The following is a 26055-nucleotide window of genomic DNA, read 5'->3' on the forward strand; positions in this document are numbered from 1 at the left end:
AAATGCAGAATTATTACATGACCTAGCAATTCCACTTCTAGGCATATACCAAAAAGAAGGGAAAATATAAACTCAATCAAATATTTATACATTAATGCTCCTTGGAGTATTATTTGCAATAGCCAAAAGGTGAAAACAACCCAAAAATCTATCATCAAGTGAATGGACAAAAAAAGTCATATATACATACAATGGAATATTATTTAGCCATCAAAAGGAATGAAGCCCTAATACATACTACGACATAGTTGAACCTTCTGAACATTATGCTAAGTAAAATAAGCCAGATGTAAATGATAAATATATAATTTCATTTAAATGAGATATCTAAAATAGCAAACTTGCAGACAGAAAGTTGATGAGAGGTTACCAGGGGCTAAGTTTGAGGGTAAGAACAGAAAGTTACTGCTTAATAGACAGAGTTTCTGTTTGGAATGATGAAAAAGTTTTGGAAGTGTTGATTGCTGCACAACACTATGAACATAATGCTACCGAATTTTACAATTAAATATGGTTAAAATGGCAAGTATTGCCACAATAAAATTAAAAAAAAATCCTCAACTTCTTGGGAAACTGAAGACAGTTGTATTTATTAAGGACAGGACATAACACAATTGAATTGAGAAGAGCATCACTAAATGGAAAGAGTTACTTATTAGGCTGAGTAATGCTGGCTCCTAGAATGAGTTAAGAAGAAAAGAAAACAAAAGACCTATCTCACTGAGTAATCTAGATAATTGGATGTAAAATTCTTAGAGGTAAATGAGAAAAGTAGTGATGAGAATAAATGAGTGTGTAGTGAGACATTATCAACTGCCTTCCTTAAACTGGGCTCTGGTAATGGGAATATAGTAAAACTGACTGACATTTTAATCCTCATTGGCTGTGTAGGAGAAATGTGATCTCTTGGTTTCTATAGCTCTTTGTCATGAAATTTATTATCATAGCACAGTAGGAGCGCAAAGGTGCTAGTAATCAGAATATCAGATAAATGAATCTTTACTATAGTTTTAAATCCTCAAAGTTAATGTTCCACAGTAATACTGTTCATATTTTAACATTAATTAGACTTTAAACTTTAGACTTCTTTCACTTTATCTTATTTTGCTTTTATTATATAAGCCCTACATTTTCACGTCCTCATTATGTACCCTATTTCTTTCCCCTATTACCTTGCCCCAAACTCAGCTGTCCAAATGCCAATTTCTTGCACAAGTTTATCTCATACTCTATTTTTCAAAAGCACAGATTCCATGACCAATTCCAATGTGCAGTTTCTTTCTGCAACATGGTCAGAAATGCTATTATATAAAAATACAAGTAAATTCTATGCTGTTTCCCCTAGATAATACCAGATTCTACTTTGTATAATACTGGACTTGTATTTATTTCCAAAAGAAGAAGACATTACTGAACCAACACATTGCTTTCTACACAGAATTGTGAATTCACCTTCATTTATCCATGAGGATCTGATTTGATCTGCTAGTTACATTCAGTTAAAGTAATTTAAAAATATAAATCTAAGATGTAAGTTATACATATGGCAAGACAGAGGTCTTGATAATACATTGAGGAAGCCAGTGTTCAGTCCCTCAATCTCTGCTGACTACTTTCTCATTTCTCCATTCCCTGACTCCCTACTATGGTCACTATCTATACCTCACCTTTTCATCTCCTCCCCCATTGCTGTTTACCTGAGTTGTACTTATTTTCTTGATACCTGTTTTTCTATGCATCAAATTTCTGCTAATGTGTTAGATTCTTTAATTGGGAGACAAGTGTTTGTTGAGTCAACTATACTAGAGTGCTTGCACTACTGGCCCCCAAATTCCCTGATTTATAGCTTGTATTTTGTCTTTAGTATTCAACTTATTCATTTTATAAATCTAAGTTCCCTCAAACTTGTAAACATAATTTACAATCTGGTATGGTCACTTGTAAATATACTAATTTGTGTTACAAGTGCTTACTTTTACTTGTATTCTTTGTTTCATGCTCAATTACCTTACCATTTGGACAGTGGAAAACTGCCTTAAACATTTACCATGGTTTAAAAATTTTATTAATTCCTTAAAACATTTCAGACTACATGAAAAAAACAGTCCATTTTTCTCAAGAATTCAATACATCTACATCTAAATCTAGTCAACATATGCTTCCTAACATTTACAAAACTCTTAAATCTAATATATCAGACTCTTAAATTTTAAAAATCATATAGTATAAAGTTTCAAAAAAAGCAAAAAATATAATAATTACAAATTAGCAATGCTAGGGATTTTGATAAACCTGCACTCATTTAAATGCACCTACACAAATATTAATATATACACATAAACATTATTATGAGTATAAGACAACTTTAAGCTTTGTGACCAAACCCAAAGATTTGGGTGAAGGATTTCATTGGTGGTTACCATTATGGTGTCTAAAATGATTAAAATTTGCCAGACACAACCCACTGGTCACCACTGTGAGAACCAGACCAATCTAGGAGCTATAATCTTGGAAGACACCCAATTGACTTAATATTTATTTAAATCAATAGGAATGTCTCCAAAAGACTATTTGCCTTCTGATTAGTTTTTTAATTGTCTGAATATATAACCAGAGACTACTTAAACAAGAAGAACCTAAAATGTAGTGAATTAAGAAATTTATTTTCCCATGAGCAGAGTGAGAGCCCATTAGAGGTCAAGGGAAATAATAAAACAACTAGAGAAAGACAAAGAGACCAATGTTTTCTCTATGAGTGCCAGAGTATTGTCTAAGTAAATTTACAAATGCTGTGGATAGATTCTTGACTAGAGCTTTCAGGAGTTTAATGAATCTTCTTCCCCCAAACAAGTATAAAATTGAACAAAATTATCAGAACAAATCTTATCAAGGATCCGGAAATAGACAAAGAGGAAACAAGGAAGTGAGAAGGGATTATTCATGATAACCTGCCAGAGCATCAGGTAAGAACAACGTCTGTTTTGTGTGAAGCTGCTTTCTTCCTTCTCTCTTGATCTTTGTCAGGTGGAAGGACAGTTTTCTCAGGGTATGGCTAACCACCATAACCAGAAGCTTTGCTGTCAAAAAGGGCACACTTTATTTGGGGCAAAATGCAGAAACCCACAGTGATTTTTTCATCAATAATAGCAAACTCAGCAGGAAATAAAGGGGAAAACCTACAACTCTGCTAGGACTAGTTTGCGGTCATAATTGGTGCACAGAAGGGACTAGCCACAAATTTACAAGGAGATCCTGGATATTGGAAACTGAGCTCTTTATCTGCGTTCACATGATACTTTTGTTTAAAAGCGTGTGGCACTTCCCCAATCCCCCAACATTGTCTCTCTCTTGCTCCTAATTTCACCATGCCGTACAGGCTCCCACTTCACCTTCTATCATGAGTCAAAGATCCCTGACACCTCCCCAGAAGCCAAGTAATGTCAGCACCTATAGAATCATCAGCCAATTAAACCTCTTTTCTTTGTAAATTATCCAGTCTCAGGTATTTCTTTATAGCAACGCAAGAATAGCCTAACACATCAGGGACAAATTTCACTTGTTCATAGCATGTAACACGTTTAATGTCCTACTGAATTTGGTTTGCTAGTATTTTATTGAGGACTTTTACATCTATGTTCATTAGCAATATTGGCCTGTAATTTCCAAGCATCTTTGCTGATCACAATGAAATAAAACTAGAATGATAACAACAGTAAGAAATAGGGTAAATTCATAAACACAAAGAAACTAAGTAAAACAATCAATAGGTCCAAAGAGGAAGTCAAAAGGGAATTTCAAAATACCTTCAGACGGATGAAAACAAACACAATATCCCAGAACTAATGAAATGCAGGAAAAGTATCTCTTAATTACTTGGAGGGAAGTGTATAGACATAAATGCCTACATTAAAAATGAAGAAAGGTCTTTTTTTCCTTAGCCTCCTCCCTCCAGGAAAGGTCTTAAATAAACCACCTAACTTTATGCCTTACTCTCTAATTCCTTATACCTCAAGAAATTAGAAAAAAAAAAAAAAAAAACAAATTAAACCCAATGTTAGCAGAAGGAATAAAATAATTAAGATCAGAGTAGAAATAAACCAAATAGAGAATATAAAAAGCTTTAGAAGAACATTAAAAAACTAAGAATTTTTTGAAAAACACAATCAACAAATTCTTCTACTAAGAAAAAAAGAAGATTCAAATAAACAAAATCAGAGATAAAACAGGCAACATTACAACAGATGCCAAAGAAATAAAAATAATCATAAGGAACTATTAGGAACACTTATATACAAACAAATTAGATAACCTATAAAAAAAGAATAAATTCCCAGAAACTTACAACCTACCAAAACTGAATTAAGATGAAATAGAAAGCCAAAACAGATAACAAGTGAATTTTAATTATTAATTAAAGACCTCCCAACAACATAAAAAACTCAGGACTTATGGCTTTATGGATGAATCCTGCAAAACATTCAAAGAATAATTAGCAACAATCATTCTTAAACTCTTTTTAAACTAGAAGAAGAACGAACACTTCCAAGCTCATTTTATGAGGCAGTATCAACCTGCTAGCCAAAGACAAAGTCATCTTTTAAAAACTGTTTCGAAATGTTTACATTGAAATATCATAGAAGTGTTTAACTGTGTCAAAGTCACTAATCTCTTCAAACTTCATAGAGATAACTTCTGAGCCTTTATTTGCATCAAACTAATTTAAATTGGTCATATAAAGTTTTTCGGGGAAGGAGCCAAGATGGCCGAATAGGAACAGCTCCGGTCTACAGCTCCCAGTGTGAGCGACGCAGAAGACGGGTGATTTCTGCATTTCCATCTGAGGTACCGGGTTCATCTCACTAGGGAATGCCAGACAGTGGGCGGAGGCCAGTGGGTGCGCGCACTGTGCGCGACCCGAAGCAGGGCGAGGCATTGCCTCACTTGGGAAGTGCAAGGGGTCAGGGAGTTCCCTTTCCAAGTCAAAGAAAGGGGTGACAGACTCACCTGGAAAATCGGGTCACTCCCACCCGAATATTGCGCTTTTCAGACCGGCTTAAAAAACGGCGCACCACGAGATTATATCCGGCACCTGGCTCGGAGGGTCCTACGCCCACGGAGTCTCACTGATTGCTAGCACAGCAGTCTGAGATCAAACTGCAAGGCGGCAGCAAGGCTGGGGGAGGGGCGTCCGCCATTGCCCAGGCTTGCTTAGGTAAACAAAGCAGCCCGGAAGCTCCAACTGGGTGGAGCCCACCACAGCTCAAGGAGGCCTGCCTGCCTTTGTAGGCTCCACCTCTGGGGGCAGGGCACAGACAAACAAAAAGACAGCAGTAACCTCCGCAGACTTAAATGTCCCTGTCTGACAGCTTTGAAGAGAGCAGTGGTTCTCCCAGCACGCAGCTGGAGATCTGAGACCCGGCAGACTGCCTCCTCAAGTGGGTCCCTGACCCCTGACCCCCGAGCAGCCTAACTGGGAGGCACCCCCCAGCAGGGGCACACTGACATCTCACACTGCAGGGTATTCCAACAGACCTGCAGCTGAGGGTCCTGTCTGTTAGAAGGAAAACTAACAAACAGAAAGGACATCCACACCGAAAACCCATCTGTACATCACCATCATCAAAGACCAAAAGTAGATAAAACCACAAAGATGGGGAAAAAACAGAACAGAAAAACGGGAAACTCTAAAACGCAGAGCGCCTCTCCTCCTCCAAAGGAATGCAGTTCCTCACCAGCAACGGAAAAAAGCTGGATGGAGAATGACTTTGACGAGCTGAGAGAAGAAGGCTTCAGACGATCAAATTACTCTGAGCTACGGGAGGACATTCAAACCAAAGGCAAAGAAGTTGAAAACTTTGAAAAAAATTTAGAAGAATGTATAACTAGAATAACCAATACAGAGAAGTGCTTAAAGGAGCTGATGGAGCTGAAAACCAAGGCTCGAGAACTACGTGAAGAATGCAGAAGCCTCAGGAGCCGATGCGATCAACTGGAAGAAAGGGTATCAGCAATGGAAGATGAAATGAATGAAATGAAGCCATAAGGGAAGTTTAGAGAAAAAAGAATAAAAAGAAATGAGCAAAGCCTCCAAGAAATAGGGGACTATGTGAAAAGACCAAATCTACGTCTGATTGGTGTACCTGAAAGTGATGGGGAGAATGGAACCAAGTTGGAAAACACTCTGCAGGATATTATCCAGGAGAACTTCCCCAATCTAGCAAGGCAGGCCAACGTTCAGATTCAGGAAATATAGAGAACGCCACAAAGATACTCCTCGAGAAGAGCAACTCCAAGACACATAATTGTCAGATTCACCAAAGTTGAAATGAAGGAAAAAATGTTAAGGGCAGCCAGAGAGAAAGGTCGGGTTACCCTCAAAGGGAAGCCCATCAGACTAACAGCGGATCTCTCGGCAGAAACCCTACAAGCCAGAAGAGAGTGGGGGCCAATATTCAACATTCTTAAAGAAAAGAATTTTCAACCCAGAATTTCATATCCAGCCAAACTAAGCTTCATAAGTGAAGGAGAAATAAAATACTTTACAGACAAGCAAATGCTGAGAGATTTTGTCACGACCAGGCCTGCCCTAAAAGAGCTCCTGAAGGAAGCGCTAAACATGGAAAGGAACAACCGGTACCAGCTGCCACAAAATCATGCCAAAATGTAAAGACCATCGAGACTAGGAAGAAACTGCATCAACTAACGAGCAAAATAACCAGCTAACATCATAATGACAGGATCAAATTCACACATAACAATATTAACTTTAAATGTAAATGGACTAAATGCTCCAATTAAAAGACACAGACTGGCAAATTGGATAAAGAGTCAAGATCCATCAGTGTGCTGTATTCAGGAAACCATCTCACGTGCAGAGACACACATAGGCTCAAAATAAAAGGATGGAGGAAGATCTACCAAGCCAATGGAAAACAAAAAAAGGCAGGGGTTGCAATTCTAGTCTCTGATAAAACAGACTTTAAACCAACAAAGATCAAAAGAGACAAAGAAGGCCATTACATAATGGTAAAGGGATCAATTCAACAAGAAGAGCTAACTATCCTAAATATATATGCACCCAATACAGGAGGACCCAGATTCATAAAGCAAGTCCTGAGTGACCTACAAAGAGACTTAGACTCCCACACATTAATAATGGGAGACTTTAACACCCCACTGTCAACATTAGACAGATCAACGAGACAGAAAGTCAACAAGGATACCCAGGAATTGAACTCAGCTCTGCACCAAGCGGACCTAATAGACATCTACAGAACTCTCCACCCCAAATCAAGAGAATATACATTTTTTTCAGCACCACACCACACCTATTCCAAAATTGACCACATACTTGGAAGTAAAGCTCTCCTCAGCAAATGTAAAAGAACAGAGATTATAACAAACTATCTCTCAGACCACAGTGCAATCAAACTAGAACTCAGAATTAAGAATCTCACTCAAAACTGCTCAACTACATGGAAACTGAACAACCTGCTCCTGAATGACTACTGGATACATAACGAAATGAAGGCAGAAATAAAGATGTTCTTTGAAACCAACGAGAACAAAGACACAACATACCAGAATCTCTGGGATGCATTCAAAGCAGTGTGTAGAGGGAATTTTATAGCACTAAATGCCCACAAGAGAAAGCAGGAAAGATCCAAAATTGACACCCTAACATCACAATTAAAAAACTAGAGAAGCAAGAGCAAACACATTCAAAAGCTAGCAGAAGGCAAGAAATAACTAAAATCAAAGCAGAACTGAAGGAAATAGAGACACAAAAAACACTTCACAAAATTAATGAATCCAGGAGCTGGTTTTTTGAAAGAATCAACAAAATTGATAGACCGCTAGCAAGACTAATAAAGAAAAAAAGAGAGAAGAATCAAATAGACACAATAAAAAATGATAAAGGGGATATCACCACCGATCTCACAGAAATACAAACTACCATCAGAGAATACTACAAACACCTCTACGCAAATAAACTAGAAAAACTAGAAGAAATGGATAAATTCCTCGACACATACACTCTCCCAAGACTAAACCAGGAAGAAGTTGAATCTCTGAATAGACCAATAACAGGAGCTGAAATTGTGGCAATAATCAATAGTTTACCAACCAAAAAGAGTCCAGGACCAGATGGATTCACAGCCGAATTCTACCAGAGGTACAAGGAGGAACTGGTACCATTCCTTCTGAAACTATTCCAATCAATAGAAAAAGAGGGAATCCTCCCTAACTCATTTTATGAGGCTAGCATCATTCTGATACCAAAGCCGGGCAGAGACACAACCAAAAAAGAGAATTTTAGACCAATATCCTTGATGAACATTGATGCAAAAATCCTCAATAAAATACTGGCAAAACGAATCCAGCAGCACATCAAAAAGCTTATCCACCATGATCAAGTGGGCTTCATCCCTGGGATGCAAGGCAGGTTCAATATACGCAAATCAATAAATGTAATCCAGCATATAAACAGAGCCAAAGACAAAAACCATATGATTATCTCAATAGATGCAGAAAAGGCCTTTGACAAAATTCAAAAAAGCTTCATGCTAAAAACTCTCAATAAATTAGGTATTGATGGGACGTATTTCAAAGTAATAAGAGCTATCTATGACAAACCCACAGCCAATATCATACTAAATGGGCAAAAACTGGAAGCATTCCCTTTGAAAACTGGCAGAAGACAGGGATGCCCTCTCTCACCACTCCTATTCAACATAGTGTTGGAAGTTCTGGCCAGGGCAATTAGGCAGGAGAAGGAAATAAAGGGTATTCAATTAGGAAAAGAGGAAGTCAAATTGTCCCTGTTTGCAGACGACATGACTGTATATCTAGAAAACCCCATTGTCTCAGCCCAAAATCTCCTTAAGCTGATAAGCAACTTCAGGAAAGTCTCAGGATACAAAATCAATGTACAAAAATCACAAGCATTCTTATACACCAATAACAGACAAACAGAGAGCCAAATCATGAGTGTACTCCCATTCACAATTGCTTCAAAGAGAATAAAATACCTAGGAATCCAACTTACAAGGGATGTGAAGGACCTCTTCAAGGAGAACTACAAACCACTGCTCAAGGAAATAAAAGAGTATAGAAACAAATGGAAGAACATTCTATGCTCATGGGAAGGAAGAATCAATATTGTGAAAATGGCCATACTGCCCAAGGTAATTTACAGATTCAATGCCATCCCCATCAAGCTACCAATGACTTTCTTCACAGAATTGGAAAAAACTACTTTAAAGTTCATATGGAACCAAAAAAGAGCCCGCATCGCCAAGGCAATCCTAAGCCAAAAGATTGAAGCTGGAGGCATCACACTACCTGACTTCAAACTATACTACAAGGCTATAGTAACCAAAACAGCATGGTACTGGTACCAAAACAGAGATATAGATCAATGGAACAGAACAGAGCCCTCAGAAATAACGCTGCTTACCTACAACTATCTGATCTTTGACAAACCTGAGAAAAACAAGAAATGGGGAAAGGATTCCCTATTTAATAAATGGTGCTGGGAAAACTGGCTAGCCATATGTAGAAAGCTGAAACTGGATCCCTTCCTTACACCTTATACAAAAATCAATTCAAGATGGATTAAAGACTTAAATGTTAGACCTAAAACCATAAAAACCCTAGAAGAAAACCTAGGCATCACCATTCAGGACATAGGCATGGACAAGGACTTCATGTCCAAAACACCAAAAGCAATGGCAACAAAAGCCAAAATTGACAAATGGGATCTAATTAAACTAAAGAGCTTCTGCACAGCAAAAGAAACTACCATCAGATTCAACAGGCAACCTACAAAATGGGAGAAAATTTTCGCAACCTACTCATCTGACAAAGGGCTAATATCCAGAATCTACAATGAACTCAAACAAATTTACAAGAAAAAAACAAACAACCCCATCAAAAAGTGGGCGAAGGACATGAACAGACACTTCTCAAAAGAAGACATTTATGCAGCCAAAAAACACATGAAAAAATGCTCATCATCACTGGCCATCAGAGAAATGCAAATCAAAACCACAATGAGATACCATCTCACACCAGTTAGAATGGCAATCATTAAAAAGTCAGGAAACAACAGGTGCTGGAGAGGATGTGGAGAAATAGGAACACTTTTACACTGTTGGTGGGACTGTAAACTAGTTCAACCATTGTGGAAGTCAGTGTGGCAACTCTTCAGGGATCTAGAACTAGAAATACCATTTGACCCAGCCATCCCATTACTGGGTATATACCCAAAGGACTATAAATCATGCTGCTATAAAGACACATGCACACGTATGTTTATTGCGGTATTATTCACAATAGCAAAGACTTGGAACCAACCCAAATGTCCAACAATGATAGACTGGATTAAGAAAATGTGGCACATATACACCATGGAATAGTATGCAGCCATAAAAAATGATGAGTTCATGTCCTTTGTAGGGACATGGATGAAATTGGAAATCATCATTCTCAGTAAACTATCGCAAGAACAAAAAACCAAACACCGCATATTCTCACTCATAGGTGGGAATTGAACAATGAGATCACATGGACATAGGAAGGGGAATATCATACTCTGGGGACAGTGGTGGGGTGGGGAGAGGGGGGAGGGATAGCATTGGGAGATATACCTAATGCTAGATGACGAGTTAGTGGGTGCAGCACACCAGCATGGCACATGTATATATATGTAACTAACCTGCACAATGTGCACATGTACCCTAAAACTTAAAGTATAATAAAAATAAGTAAATAAATAAATAAATAAAATAAATTAAAAAAAGTTTTTCTACATAAATCATAAATTTTCCAATATTATTTTAAAATACTGTTGTCTTAATTACATGTTTTTATGCTGTTGCACTTATAGGAATGCTAATTACGCCCCCAAAAGTTCAAAATTATAGTGAAATCTATTTTTGTGAGGGAGATTGTTTATGATAATACATAAGATAACTATCTTCTTTACTTTGGTGAAATAAAATCAACACATTTGGAATTTCTAAGAGACATCTTATTTCCAAAGTTCTTACTGAAATTTTAAGAAAGTGACAGCAGATAGGTCATTTGGGGAGGATGTAAGAGGTACATTGATAAAATGATTTAACGTGTATAAACCACTTACGAAAACCTGATACAAAGTAATCTTAAATTTGATCAAATAAAAGCATGACCTAAATTTCCATGCAACCTCACATGTCTCACTTCTCCTCTGGAGAATTCAAATAACCCATAATGTCACGTTGAAAGAAAATGAGGGTTCATGCGGGTTCATCTAAGACACCCAGGTCTCTTTAGATCAATAGGAGAATTAACAGATATGCAATTTTACGTTCAAAGGCACTTAATGACAGCTAAGGGAACTACTGCAGAAAAGTCTTATGATCTTTTCATGTGAGGTGAAACCTCAAATTTGGAGACTTGTAAGAGTTCTGGTGATAAAAGAAACAATAAATAAATACACTTAGGGAAGGGTCATATCATTTACACTTCGTTATTCATTTATGTCAGTTTATACGTAGCTAAAAGATTTAACCAGTTCTCTTCACTCCAGAAAACATAGAAAAGGGTTATGTTGATGGGATAAGTTACTCCCAGTGGGAACAGTGGCTTCCTTAAAGAATACTACCATTTGCACCTAGAAGGATCAGATGTGAGAGAGACAAGAGAGTGGTAATGACTTTTTAACTCCAGTACTTAAGAACTACAAGTGCTATGCTTATGATCTCAAAAACTAAGTTAAAAACTAAACAGAATCCCACATAGGATTTTGGACTTACATTTAATGTTATTTAATGTGCTGAAGGAGATTATGTGAAATATTTACTGAGTTTCTACTATGTCTCAGGCACTGTGCACAGTGAGGTGATACAAGAATAAGTAGAACACTTGTAGCTTTGGCTCACTATAATACACAAGAAAGACACATTAACTGATAATCACAATACTTTGTAAAAAGTGATATGACTAATGTAAGCAATGCATAATAGAAAGGTACATTAAAAGCATATCTAATGTACCAAACTAAATAATTTTTAAATATGAAACCAGTTCTGTAGAAATTACAATAACAAATTCTCAGAAAATGAAATATAAATGTTATATCTTTTATAATAAAAATATGGCTAAATACTAATGAAAATTGGAACATAAATGACTATTATATCAACATTGTTGAAACGAATCTGGAGGCCACATATCAAGATATATTAAGAAACATTTATAAATATGCCTGAAGTCTGAAATGAATTATGGGGAATCAAAACAATTATGTTAACTCTGAGTATCACTTATTTTTTTCTTTTGTAAAGTATTCGTGATTCTAAAATTAATAAATAAAATTAAATTTTTAGTAGAATGGAAATCATCATTCCTTATTTATCATTTATTTTCATATGGTTTTTAATGTTAAATAATATTATTTTTAAGGTTAAGTAATATCTTATGTTTTAATGCCAAAACTTTCAAACATCATTAACCACAGAAATGCTTGAAATTATGGTAAATTTAACAATTTTACTAAAAGAATTATATAACAATGCATACTTGCAAGTTGCATTTCTTTCAGTACATCACTTGCATTTGGGTAGGTAAATTCTGAAACAGGAATTTCATTTGTATTTCTAGCTCACACAGCTTTCTAGCTTCTTAGTTGCAATACTCCTTCAAACAATAGGTTATACAACCACATAAAGTGGGAACAATTTAGGAACTTTCTTTATAGATTTCTGGATTTACAGTCACGATTTTATAAATACATTTTCCAAGTGAAATAAACACGACAAAGAGAAAAATGAACAAAAAAACCTTTCATTTTCTGATGAATTTATTGGATAGTCTAAGTGTCTTTCATCGAATTGTCACATTCTAAACTGATGTGTGAATTGCTAAAGGTTATGCTTATATGCTATGTTTTGAATAAGCTGGAAGTCCATCTTTAATTATTAATACAGCATATTAGGTGATAAGTGCATTTCTCTGATGTTTACTACAGCACAATAATCAATATGGTTAACTCATTTACACAAACTAATTAAAATTTAATTGCATTTCACTGAAAGATTATTAATATTTAAACAAACAAAATTCTACATAAGAACAAAAAGACAATGTTAATAATTTATCCTCAGTTTCAAGACTTTCATAGATGCAAATCATGCTTTGAAACTCTCTTCTAATGAATTCATAATAAATATTCAAAGCCAACACATTTAAAAACCCTGTGACAAGTTAGAGTCTAATAAAATGTGAGATATACTAGCAACATATTCTCATTCAAGTTAGTCCACAAGCATTACATGAGGTAAGCACTAAATTAATAAAGGATAAATTCTGTTACTGTTAGCATATGTAGCTGTTACAATTTTCAGTTATTATATCAAGCCAAAAATAGATTAATATAAATGAAAATAGAATTTTGTATGACTAACAGTAGAACCTTTTAAAAATAGTATTTATGAAAGCTTTTTATAATACTGAATATGAAAGACTAGGAAAAGGTGTTAAGGAAGATTTGAAAATTTCCTGAATAATTTATCAGTAAGAGAGTACACACCAAATCGAGAAAAGAAGGCAATTCTAACTTGAATAGAGCTGTGAGTGAGAAAAAGAAACATTTACCACTCTCACACTGTTTTGGAAATGTGTAGAGCAAAGATGAAGTAAAAGAATACAAACACAAGGCTGCCTAACTGAGTTAATTTGGGGAGAATATTTTTTGGGGGGCGGGAGTCAGCCACTACATTATTATTCTGTGGTAATGGGAAGAAAAAAACTCAAAATTTGGAGCTCCTTTATTTGGAGCTACATTTGCCACTACATAGTTCAATACACTTCATAGTTCAATAGCTCATAGTTCAAATATCACAGGCTTTCAATCCCTGAGCAGTTTGCATCCTGGTGCCAGCATAGTTCAATAGTAGTCAGATATTTAATTAAGCCCACAGAAAAGTTGAGATAGTTAGCTAGTCATATATAGAAAACAAATATATCGATACCACAAAATTTACTCTTAAATTTATTCATATAAATATCAATATGGCCAAAAGAAACTGAATACCAACTCTTATCTTACATAATATATAAAACTTTACTCAAAATGGATCACAGATCTGAATGTAAAAGCTAAAACTAGAAAAGTTCTGGAAAAATATTAGAGAAATTCTTTGTCATCTAGTGTAAGAGAAACTTTCTTAGAAGTAGGCAAAATATTTTAACAGGCACTTTGCAAATAAAAGATTCATGAACGGCCAATAAGCATATAATAAAATGTTTAGCAGGAAAATGGGTTTAAAATGATGGTATGTCTATGTGATGATACACGACACAACAATAAAAAGGAAATTAACTACTATTGATAAATGCAACAACATGGATGAATCTCTAAATTATTTTCTTGTGTGAAATGAAATAGACAAAAGTAGTGCATACTCCATGGTTTCACTTATACAAAAATCCAGAAAATTAAAACATACATAGTGACAAGAGGCTTGTGTGCAGCCAGGAGCAGAGAAAGAAACAGGTTGCAAAGGTGTATAAGGAATGTTTGGCATGATAGAGATGTTTGTGGTAATGGTTCCACAGTTACATTATCACTCAGACTTCATAAAATTTTATCTTGTCCATGGTTTAAGTTTATATAAATTACAGCTCTAAAACTTAATAAGACGACTATATAAAGGATTTATACACAAGACTGTGTATCATGTTACAGATTTAAATAGAAAACAATTAATATATAATTTCCAATATGAGTTTAAGTAAATTATAATCCAGTTGCATAAGTCAGTTTCACTAAAAACTAAACCATTAAAATTGTTATATATTGTATATACATAATTAAATTTCTATGGTTAGCCTTTTATACATTTAATAACATATCATGATTCAAATATGAATATTATGAGCATTAGGTTTATGATATGTATGAATATGAAGAGTATTATAATTATTATACAAAAAAGAAACATAAAGATATCATATATTTTAATAACAGATCTGGAGAATTAGTATTGTAAGGGCTCTAGTAACAAAGTTACTTAAGTTTGGAGTAGGCTTCTTCTAAACCTATTTCTTCTAAAACACCTGTTAGTTTTAGTGCATGCTTTTGCAGAAAGCAAGGTTTCTGAGGAAAACATATAATTGGCAAAAATTACACATTCATTATACATTATAATTATAGTCTAATTATATCTTTCCAGGATGCTGTTTTTTAAAAGTCAATGAGGTATTTAAGATAGATGTGTAATTCAGTGTTATGTTTTTGATGTAAAATTGATGTGCATAAAAAGTTCAGAGACAGGAGAAACCAATGAATAAGAAAAAATTGTTCTGGTTCAAGATAGCTGACTGGAACAAGCTAGTGGGTACACTCTCACAGAGAGGAATCAAATTAGCAAGGAAATGTTAACACTTCAAGTTGATTTTCTGAGAGAGAAAACTGGAATTCATCAGAGAAACAACAGAAATCATGGGAAGCAGAGAAGAGTGAAGCCAAGCAGCGCGCTGAGTTGGAAGCAGCATCTAGCTAGGAGAGGCTCCCCAACACAGGGAAGGGCTGAATAAATGAGAGACTCCTGAGGCTCCGCACTCTGGCCAAAGACCTTTACAATTCTAGCTATGGGAGAGCCCCTTCTATCCCCGTGGGCCTCCAGACTAACACAGGAAGCTGCCTAGATACTGTGCAGAGGCATTGTTCAAGCCCACGAGAAATGCCACAGGCTTTGATCACAGCAGTTGCATCCTAGTGCCAGCTGCGCTGCCCTACCAGGAAGAGAGTGGAAAGGTGGGCATTTTCATGCACCCCAAAGATAGACACAACAGCCACTGCTGTGGGATGAACGAGTGGACAAAACACACACCCCACAGCTGTCTGCCTCCACTGCTCCCCTATCTAGTGGGCAGACCACATAAGCCATGGCTGCCTTCCTCAGCAGCTGCCTGGCCCCTACCTGAGTATTTTGGCTATGCCCCAGCATTATTCTGAGATCCCAGCCCCCAAAGGCTGGTAATCTGCCCTGGGGCTCCTAAAACAGTTGCCACCACCATTACCACCACAGTCTCTGCTATCCTTACCCCATTGTGCCAGGGAAGGAGCAACGAGACTGGGCACATTTGTGTGCCTCGAACAGTAAAATCTACCACTGCCTCTACAGGAGAGAAGTGCAAGTGAGCCGTGTGCCTGAAGCTTCCAAACTCCATGGCTCCCACTGAGGTGGACTGCCCTTCCCAATGGCAGGCCTACAGAGTAGCCACTCTGCCTTGGTCTAAGCATTTTGGCTATGGCACAGCACCCTTCTGAAATCCTAGCCCTTGGAGGCCTACATTCTGTTCTGTGGCCCCCACTGCCAATGCTGCTGCCACCACCATACTCACTGCCAGTCCAGGGAGGGAGCGGGAGACTGGGTACCTTCACATGTCCCAGCGAGGGATACCTGTTGCTGCTTCTGTGAGAGGGAGGCATGAGTGAGCCATGTACCCCACAAGTGCCTTCCTCTACTGCTACTGCTGAGGGGGCCCTGCCTTCCCCACTGACAGGCCCACAGAGTAGCCACCCTGCTCCTACCTGATCATTTCAGCTATGGCTCAGAGCTCTTCTGAGAGCCCAGCCGCCAGAGGCCTGTGATCTACCTTGGGGATCCCACCACCTGAGCATTTTGCTGACACCTGAGCATTCTGCCTGCCTCTGCCTGAGAGTTCTGCTGGTGACCTGTGGACCAGGCTGCCTCTCAGTATCACAGCCAGCACCTAGACACAGGAGACCTGAGGACAAGTTCGCTGGCTTGGCCTCAGTCCAGTCCCTCCAGAACTTGTGTATGCCATTCAGTGGGCCATCTAGGTATCTGGATTTTTTTCACTCCCTGCAGAATTTAGGTTGGGCTGAACCAACCAGCCTACCCCACCACAGCTGAAACCCACCTACATGTTCTGAAAGGCAGAGCTCTTCCCACGCTACATGACATGCATTATCTGAGGCTCTCAGCTACATTGTGGCCTTGAGATGGAGGATAGTGTGCATCTAAACTGAGAATCATGAGCTCTGGGATAGCAGTATGATAGAGAAACACATCATGTTCCTGTTTGTCTAGGATGTGGAGCTGGTGCAGTCCCCTCCTCCGCTGCAGACACCGCTACATTTCATCAGGAGTTCCCCGAGTCAGCCTCATCAGGGCTGCTGCCTGCGATTGTCATGGGGTATTCATGGCTGAGATTGTTGGTCTAGCTCTGCCCAGCTTTGTTTCCCATACCATTCAGCTGGACAAGGAACCCAGAGCACCAGGTATTTCACAGACTAGCCCATCACCTGAAACAACAGAGTGCACCTCTCAGTAAAGTGAGATGTTGAACTGCATAACCCAATACAAAACGTACTGACAGAACTGCACAGAGCTATAGAAGCAGAGCCAAAGGACCCTACCCAACATATGCTACATTCACACACTCAAGGAGAGAAAAAAAATCCAATTGAAAGTAAATTAAATAAATAAAAAAAACTCCAGGTAAGAAAGATCCAAATTAAGAATGCTGGCACCATGAAAAAACTGAGTGTTATGACACCACAAAAGGATCATATTAGCTCTCTAGCAATGGATCCTAACCAAAATAAAAGTTCTGAAATAACAAATAAAGTAATAAAAATATGAATTATCAGGAAGCCCAATGTGATCCAAAAGGTTGAAAACCAACACAAAGGAATCAGATAAAAACAATTCCAGTTATGAAAGAAGAGATAGATATTAAACAATAATAATCCAAACAGTACTTGGAAATGAAAAATTCACTTAAGGAATTTCAAACACAATTCAAACATTTAAGATTCAATCAGACCAAGCAAAAACAAACAAACAAAAAAACAAACAAAAAAAAAACACTTTCAGAGCTAAAAGACTGGTCATTTGAATTAACTCAGACAAAAATAAAGGCAGAATTTTATAAATGAACAAAGTCTTAGTGACCAAGCCTATGAGTTACAGGCAATCCTAAAGGAGAAGGAAAAAAGTTAAAAGTTTGAAAACCACCTTAGAAGGAATAATTTAAAAAATTGTCTGATCTTTCTAGAGATTAAGACATCCACATTTAAAAGAGCTCAGAGAATGCCTTGAAAATACTTTGCAAGACAAACTTCACCAAGGCATATAGTTATCAGACTAGCCATAGGCAATGTGGATGCAAAATTCTAAAAGCAGCTAGAGAGAAGCATCTACTTACCTATAAAGGAAATCCCATTGGACTAACAGATGACTTATCAGCAGAAAATGTACAAGTCAGACGAGATTTGGGACATATTTTCAGCCTTCTTCAAGAAAAAAATGCCAGCCAAGAATTTCATATCCTGCCAAATTAAGCTTCATCAATGAAGGAAAAATAGTCTTTCCCAGAGTAGTAAATTCCAAGGAAATTTAGTACCATTAGACTGTTCCTATGAGAAATGCTCAAAGGAGTTCTAAACATGGAATTGAAAGGATACTCACCATGATAAAAGCAAATGCAAATATTATACAAAGCTTACAGATTCTATAAAACAGTTATAAAATTGAGACTAGAAAGCAACTAGCTAACATTATGACTGGAACAAAATCTTACACATCAATATTAACCTTGAACATAAATGACCTAAATGTTCCATTTAAAGATATAGACTGACAAATTTGATAAAAACACAGGATCCAACCATCTGCTGCCTAGAAGAGATCGATGGAATGGGTAAAGACACCCACAGACTCAATGGAAAGGGGTGGAAAATGATATATCATACAAACAGAAAATAAAAATAAGCAGAAGTATCTATACTTATATGAGATATACCAGACTTTATATCAACAACAGTAAAAAGACAAAGATGGTCATTATAAAGGGCTCAATTCGACAAAAAGATATGACCATCCTAAATATATATGTGCCCAATGTCAGAGCTTCTAGAGTCATAAAAGAAATACTACTAGACCTACGAAAAGAGATTGACAGCAGTACAATAATGGTGGGAAACTTTAAAACCCCACTGATGACACAAAACAGATGACTGAGGCAGAAAATTCATAAAGAAACTCTAGACTTAAATTGGGTTCTAGATCAAACAGATCTGATAGACATTTACAAAATATTCTATTTAACAACAGAGAATATATTTTTTTTCATGCATACATGAAACATTTTCCAAAATAGATCACATGCTTGGCCATGAAACAAGTCAATAAATTAAAAAATAATAAAAATCATACCAAGTATTTTCTCAAACAACATTGGAATAAAAGTAGAAATTAATACCAACAGGAACTAGGGAAACGATACAAATACATGGAAACTGAACAACTTGCTCCTGAATGATCTTTTGGTAAACAATGAAATTAAGGCAGAAATCAATAATTTTTTGAAATAAAGGAAAACAGAGACAACTTATCAAAAGTTTTGGGACACAGCAAAAGCACTGCCAAGAGGGAAGTTAATACTATTAAATGTCTATATCGAAAAGATCAAAAGAGCTCAAATTAATAACCTAATATCTCACTGCAAGGAAATGGAAAAAAGAGAACAAACCAAACCCAAAGCTAGCAGAAGAAAGGAAATAACAAAGATCAGAGTTGAACTAAATAATATTAAGACCAAAACAAAATACAAAAAAAATCAATGAAACAAAAACCTGTTCTTTGAAATGATAAACAGAATTGACAGACCACTACATTAGCTAGATTAACCAAGAGAAAAGAGAAGATTGATTCAAATTAGCACAATCAGAAATGATTGTAAAGTTGACTTTACAACTGATACCAGAGAAATACAAAAGATCATCAGAGACTACTATAATATCTCTATGTGCACAAACTAGAAAACCTGGAGGAAAGGGGAAAATTCCTGGAAACATGCAACCTACCAAGATCAAGCCAGGAAAAAACAGAAACCCTGAACAAACCAATAATGACTAATTAGGTTGAATCAGTAATTTAAAATTTCCCATAACAAAAAAGCCCAGGACCAAATGGATTCACAGCTAAATTTTATCAGATGTGCAAATAAGAATTGGTACCAATCTTACTGAAACTATTCCATAAAATTGAGGAGGAGGGATTTTTCTTTAACTCATTCAACAAAAACATTGTCACTCTGATACCGCATCAGATAAGGACACAACAAAGAAATAAAACTATAGGCCAATATCCCTGATTAGCATAGATCCAAAAATCCTCAATAACACTAGCTACCCAAATCCAATAACACATCAAAAAGATACTACATCACTATCAAGTAAACACTATAAACCACTCATTAAAGTAGTTTTGTTGAAATGAATGTAATTGGAGAATACTTAAAAGGGGTAGGTAACGTCAAGGGAGAGCATTTTTTTTTTTTTTCAGAGTAAGGGAGAGATAACATGTTTAAATGCTGATAGAAATAATCTAGTAGATAAAAAGTTCTCGACTAAGTGGACAGAGAGAATTGCTGGAACTAAATTTCTGAAAAAGTAAAAGGGGATAAGACCTAGTACTAATGAGGAATGTTGACTGGGAACCTTGAAAGTCCATTTCAGCAATGAACAAAGGTCAAGATACATGAGTACATGTTTGGGAGGCTTATGGGAATATTATTTTGATTGCTATAGTTTTCTTAGGGCAGTGGTTCTAAGACCAGCAGATGTCAGAATTACGTAGATGGCTTGTTAAGATATAGATTGCTAGGTCTCAACTCCATAGTTTCTAATTTACTATGCCCGGGAATGGGCCAAAGAATTTGCTTTTCTTAAAAGTTCCTAGGTGGTGCTGTCATTCCAGGAACTATATGCTGAGAACTGCCTTAGGGGCAATGGGATCAAAGACCTCTGCCAAGGTTAAGACCAGGAGGATTGCTATATTGGATATTTGAAGAACTATCCAATCCAAATATTTATCCATTATATTTAGATGGAATATTCATCCAAAGGGGATGGTGAAAGGAAAAGGATGACTTCGTGACAGGACTAAGAACTAAAGTTTTGTGATCAGCAATTTAAAATAAAACCAGGCAACATGCTTCTGTGATTTGTTCCATAATATTTAGCTGCATCAATAGAGAATAGAGGCATGGAGTAGAAAGACAGTATTATGATTTAGTCAAGTGAAAGAAATGAAGTAATTGATAAGAAAGAAAAAAGAGGGCATTTTTATAGGGCATGATTACAACTTTTGACCAATAATTTAAACTGTTCAAGGAAAGGAGTGAGACATAGGTAAGAAGGCTGTGGCAGGGAAAAATAGGATAGTACAAAAAATTAAAAGATGTCTGGAGACAGTGTACCAAGGGAATAAAGTGGGAAAGTAGTGGCTTGGTAACAGACTTAGAAGTCTGAAATTAAGATGGTAATATAGGGACACATACATTCACACATAGAATATTGGTTACTCACCTATTGTTGTACAAACTGGCCATAGGGATGTTACTGCTTTGTCTAGTTTCTAGTAGATGACATACTTAAATGAATAAACATTTAAGTAGATAATTGGTGATCAAGATCATTGTGGAAGAAAGAGTCAAGAAACAGAGAGACAAGCGTGGTGACTCATGCCTGTGGTCCCGGTACTTTGGAAGGCAGAGGTGAGAGGTTGCTTGGGCCCAGGAGTTTGAGACCAGCCTGGGCAACATAGGGAGGTTCTATCTGTACGAAAAAAATATGTATTTTTGAAAATAAACTAGCTCTAGTGGCAGGCACCTGTGGTCCCAGATATTTGGGAAGCTGAAGTGGAAGGACTGCTGGAACCCAGGAGGTCGAGGCTGCAGTGAGCTATGCTTGCGCCACTGCACTCCAGCCTGGATGACAGAGTGAGACCTTTTCTGACAAAAAAAAAAAAAAGAGAGAGAGAGAAAGAAGTAAAAAAGGACAAGTGTATTGAAGTTATCATGTAGTTGGATATTGAAATCACCAATAATTACAATAGAAGCTATATTACAGTGAGTTACAATAATTCAGGGACTAAAATATTTATGAAATATTGAGAAATAAACTGAGGAATAGAAGATAATTACAAGAAGGGTAGTGAGGGATATGTTGAGATTACATGAGATTTAAATCTGGATGTTTATAGAGAACAGAGAAAAAGTAAAACTATTCTGGAAGCAACAATAAAGAAAAAAAAGTACCTACTTCTATAAGGCCTACTTTTCACTTTCACATCTTAAACCATATATAAAATAGAAGGCATATATTTTTTAAAACTCTACCGCTTGACAGGACTGAATGAAAACATTTCTTAGGGAATGGCTACATTTCAGAGTAAGAAAACAAACAAAACTCAAAAAATTTAGATTTTAAAAAACAGAGTGAAGAATTTCAGGAGGTAAGTAGGACTGGGAGGTGGGGGTGGGAAAGTATTGTATAGAGCTGTATGAGGATTAGAATTTTAGGAGGAAAGATTTGCCTAGAAGTCATGGGCTTCTTGTGGAGGCTGACATGAATGGCATGGAATCTGACAAAATTAGTATTCATAAACCCAACGCAGCCCAGTAGGTCAAATGTTCGAGGGAAAAAGGAAGAAACACAGCATTCTAGGAGTGCTATTTGATTACTCGTGATGGTCACATGAAAATCTGTAGAAAAGTGAATTTACCTGCTGTGGGCTCTTTATTTATTCCAGTGGAATTTTTTGAAAAAAAAATATTGCCTGGTTTTGGTTGGAAAGGGAGATGCAAGACATGAGATTTCACTCTCATAAATATCTCCACATTCTTTCCCAAAATTGATTACACCATCTTGATTCATTTTTCTTCCAGTTGGGGGATAATAGTGAAATTTTTTGCAGAATATGTTTCATTCATTTCTTTTACATATGTTTCTTTTTTTTGGCATTTTTATTTATTTATTTATTTTTATTATACATTAAGTTCTAGGGTACATATGCACAACATGCAGGTTACATATGTATACATGTGCCATGTTGGTGTGCTGCACCCATTAACTCATCATTTACATTAGGTATATTTCCTAATGCTATCCCTCCCCCTCCTCCCACCCCACGACAGGCCCCAGTGTGTGATGGTCCCCACCCTGTGTCCAAATGTTCTCTTTGTTCAATTCCCACCTGTGAGTGAGAACATGTGAGGTTTGGTGTTCTGTCCTTGTGATAGTTTGCTCAGAATGATGGTTTCCAGCTTCATCCATGTCCCTACAAAGGACATGAACTCATCCTTTTTTATGGCTGCATAGTATTCCATGGTGTATATGTGCCACATTTTCTTAATCCAGTCTATCATTGATGGACATTTGGGTTGGTTCCAAGTCTTTGCTATTGTGAGTAGTGCTGCAGTACAAAAAGGAGCTGGTATCATTCCTTCTGAAACTATTCTAATCAATAGAAAAAGAGGGAATACTCCCCAACTCATTTTGTGAGGCCAGCAACATCCTGATACCAAAGCCTGGCAGAGACACAACAAAAAAAGAAAATTTTAGACCAATATCCCTGATGAACATTGATGCAAAAATCCTCAGTAAAAAGCTGGCAAACCAAATCCAGCAGCACATCAAAAAGCTTATCCACCATGATTCAGTTGACTTCATCCCTGGGATGCAAGGCCGGTTCAATATATGCAAATCAATAAACGTAATCCATCATATAAACAGAACCAAAGACAAAAACCACATGATTATCTCAATAGATGCAGAAAAGGCCTTTGACAAAATTCAACAGCCCTTCATGCTAAAAACTCTCAATAATGAGAGTATTGAGGGAACGTATGTAAAAATAAGAGCTATTTATGACAAACCCACAGCCAATATACTGAATGGGCAAGAAATGGAAGTATTCCCTTTGAAAACTGGCATAAGACAGGGATGCCCTCTCTCACCACTCCTATTCAACATAGTATTGGAAGTTCTGGCCAGGGCAATCAGGCAGGAGAAAGAAATAAAGGGTATTCAATTAGGAAAAGAGGAAGTCAAATTGTCCCTGTTTGCAGATGACATGATTGTATATTTAGAAAACCCCATTGTCTCAGCCCAAAATCTCCTTAAGCTGATAAGCAACTTCAGCAAAGTCTCAGGATACAAAATCAATGCGCAAAAATCACAAGCATTCCTATACACCAATAACAGACAAACAGAGAGCCAAATCATGAGTGAACTCCTATTCACAATTGCTTCAAAGAGACTAAAACACCTAGGAATCCAACTTACAAGGGAAGTGAAGGACCTCTTCAAGGAGAACTACCAACCACTGCTCAATGAAATAAAAGAGGACACAAACAAATGGAAGAACATTCCATGCTCATGGGTAGGAAGAATCAATATTGTGAAAATGGCCATACTGCCCAACTTAATTTATAGATTCAATGCCATCCCCATCAAGCTACCAATGACTTTCTTCACAGAATTGGAAAAAACTACTTTGAAGTTCATACGGAACGAAAAAAGAGCCTGCATTGCCAAGACAATCCTAAGCCAAAAGAACAAAGCTGGAGGCATCACGCTACCTGACTTCTAACTATACTACAAGGCTACAGTAACCAAAACAGCATGGTACTGGTACCAAAACAGAGATATAGACCAATGGAACAGAACAGAGCCCTCAGAAATAATACCACACATCTATAACCATCTGATCTTTGACAAACCTGAGAAAAACAAGAAATGGGGAAAGGATTCCCTATTTAATAAATGGTGCTGGGAAAACTGGCTAGCCATAAGTAGAAAGCTGAAACTGGATCCCTTCCTTACACCTTACACAAAAATTAATTCAACATGGATTAAAGACTTAAATGTTAGACCTAAAACCATAAAAACCCTAGAAGAAAACCTAGGCAATACCATTCAGGCCATAGGCATGGGCAAGGACTTCATGTCTAAAACACCAAAAGCAATGGCAACAGAAGCCAAAATTGACAAATGGGATCTAACTAAACTAAAGAGCTTCTGCACAGCAGAGAAACTACCATCAGAGTGAAGAGGCAACCTACAGAATGGGAGAAAATTTTTACAATCTACCCATCTGACAAAGGGCTAATATCCAGAATCTACAAAAGAACTTAAACAAATTTACAAGAAAAAAATCAAACAACTCCATCAAAAAGTGGGCGAAGGACATGAACAGACACTTCTCAAAAGAAGACATTTATGCAGCCAACAGACACATGAAAAAACGCTCATCATCACTGGCCATCAGAGAAATGCAAATCAAAACCACAGTGAGATACCATCTCACACCAGTTAGAATGGCAATCATTAAAAAGTCAGGAAACAACAGGTGCTGGAGAGGATGTGGAGAAATAGGAACACTTTTACACTGTTGGTGGGACTGTAAACTAGTTCAACCATTGTGGAAGACAGTGTGGCGATTCCTCAAGGATCTAGAACTAGAAATACCATTTGACCCAGCCATCCCGTTACTGGGTATATACTCAAAGGATTATAAATCTTTTACATATGCTTCAATGGGCGCGGGATGTGCAATGGTGAACTGTAGCTAGCCAGTCAGTCATGGAAATCTCCATCGTACTTATTTTCTAATGTTTGTGACTGAGAGTGTGTCCTTCTTTTGTTGCTTTACTACTAATGTACTTAATTTCTTCATCTATTTTAAAGCATTTGTGGGATTTATACTATATTATAATCCATACATTTCTAGAATTGTTTTCTTAAAATTCACTTTTTGAATTATCAATTTTTCTTAATGATCAGCTTGACAATTCAGATGCTTATACAAATGTGCACATATACATGCACACAGAGTATTGGTTACTCACCTATTGTCATACAAACTGACCATAGGGATGTTACTGCTTTCTCTGGTTTTTAATAGGTGAGATACTTCAGAAACCTCTATTTGCTATTTCAGCTCTTCAAACCTTTATTGAATCCTTCTTTTTGAACTTAATGTCATTTTTATTTTCCTGACTGAAACTGCATGTTTTTAAAAGAAGTTGATTGTGCTAAAACATTTATAAAGTAAAACACCAGTACCTTTATATCTCCTCCACCAATAGAGAAAATTTACAACCATTTTAAACATTTAAGGTAAGTATACGTTTTGAGATTTGAGAGGTGGGCCAAAATAATTACTGCCCATTTCTTCAAAGTAA

General features: G+C 36.8%; 4 annotated features.

The window, feature by feature from the left end:
• Positions 4449-5158: an enhancer, noted in NCBI's record as "NANOG-H3K27ac-H3K4me1 hESC enhancer chr2:186729029-186729738 (GRCh37/hg19 assembly coordinates)". NCBI's record gives its function as "activates a minimal SCP1, AML or CMV promoter by ChIP-STARR-seq in primed H9 embryonic stem cells {active_cell/tissue: H9 hESC(primed)}" and the evidence as "EXISTENCE:reporter gene assay evidence [ECO:0000049][PMID:30033119]".
• Positions 5159-5867: an enhancer, noted in NCBI's record as "NANOG-H3K27ac-H3K4me1 hESC enhancer chr2:186729739-186730447 (GRCh37/hg19 assembly coordinates)". NCBI's record gives its function as "activates a minimal SCP1, AML or CMV promoter by ChIP-STARR-seq in primed H9 embryonic stem cells {active_cell/tissue: H9 hESC(primed)}" and the evidence as "EXISTENCE:reporter gene assay evidence [ECO:0000049][PMID:30033119]".
• Positions 15355-16300: an enhancer, noted in NCBI's record as "H3K27ac hESC enhancer chr2:186739935-186740880 (GRCh37/hg19 assembly coordinates)". NCBI's record gives its function as "activates a minimal SCP1, AML or CMV promoter by ChIP-STARR-seq in naive and primed H9 embryonic stem cells {active_cell/tissue: H9 hESC(naive and primed)}" and the evidence as "EXISTENCE:reporter gene assay evidence [ECO:0000049][PMID:30033119]".
• Positions 16301-17244: an enhancer, noted in NCBI's record as "H3K27ac hESC enhancer chr2:186740881-186741824 (GRCh37/hg19 assembly coordinates)". NCBI's record gives its function as "activates a minimal SCP1, AML or CMV promoter by ChIP-STARR-seq in naive and primed H9 embryonic stem cells {active_cell/tissue: H9 hESC(naive and primed)}" and the evidence as "EXISTENCE:reporter gene assay evidence [ECO:0000049][PMID:30033119]".

The sequence above is a fragment of the Homo sapiens genome, chromosome 2 (assembly GCF_000001405.40).
Source record: "Homo sapiens chromosome 2, GRCh38.p14 Primary Assembly".
NCBI lineage: Eukaryota > Metazoa > Chordata > Mammalia > Primates > Hominidae > Homo > Homo sapiens.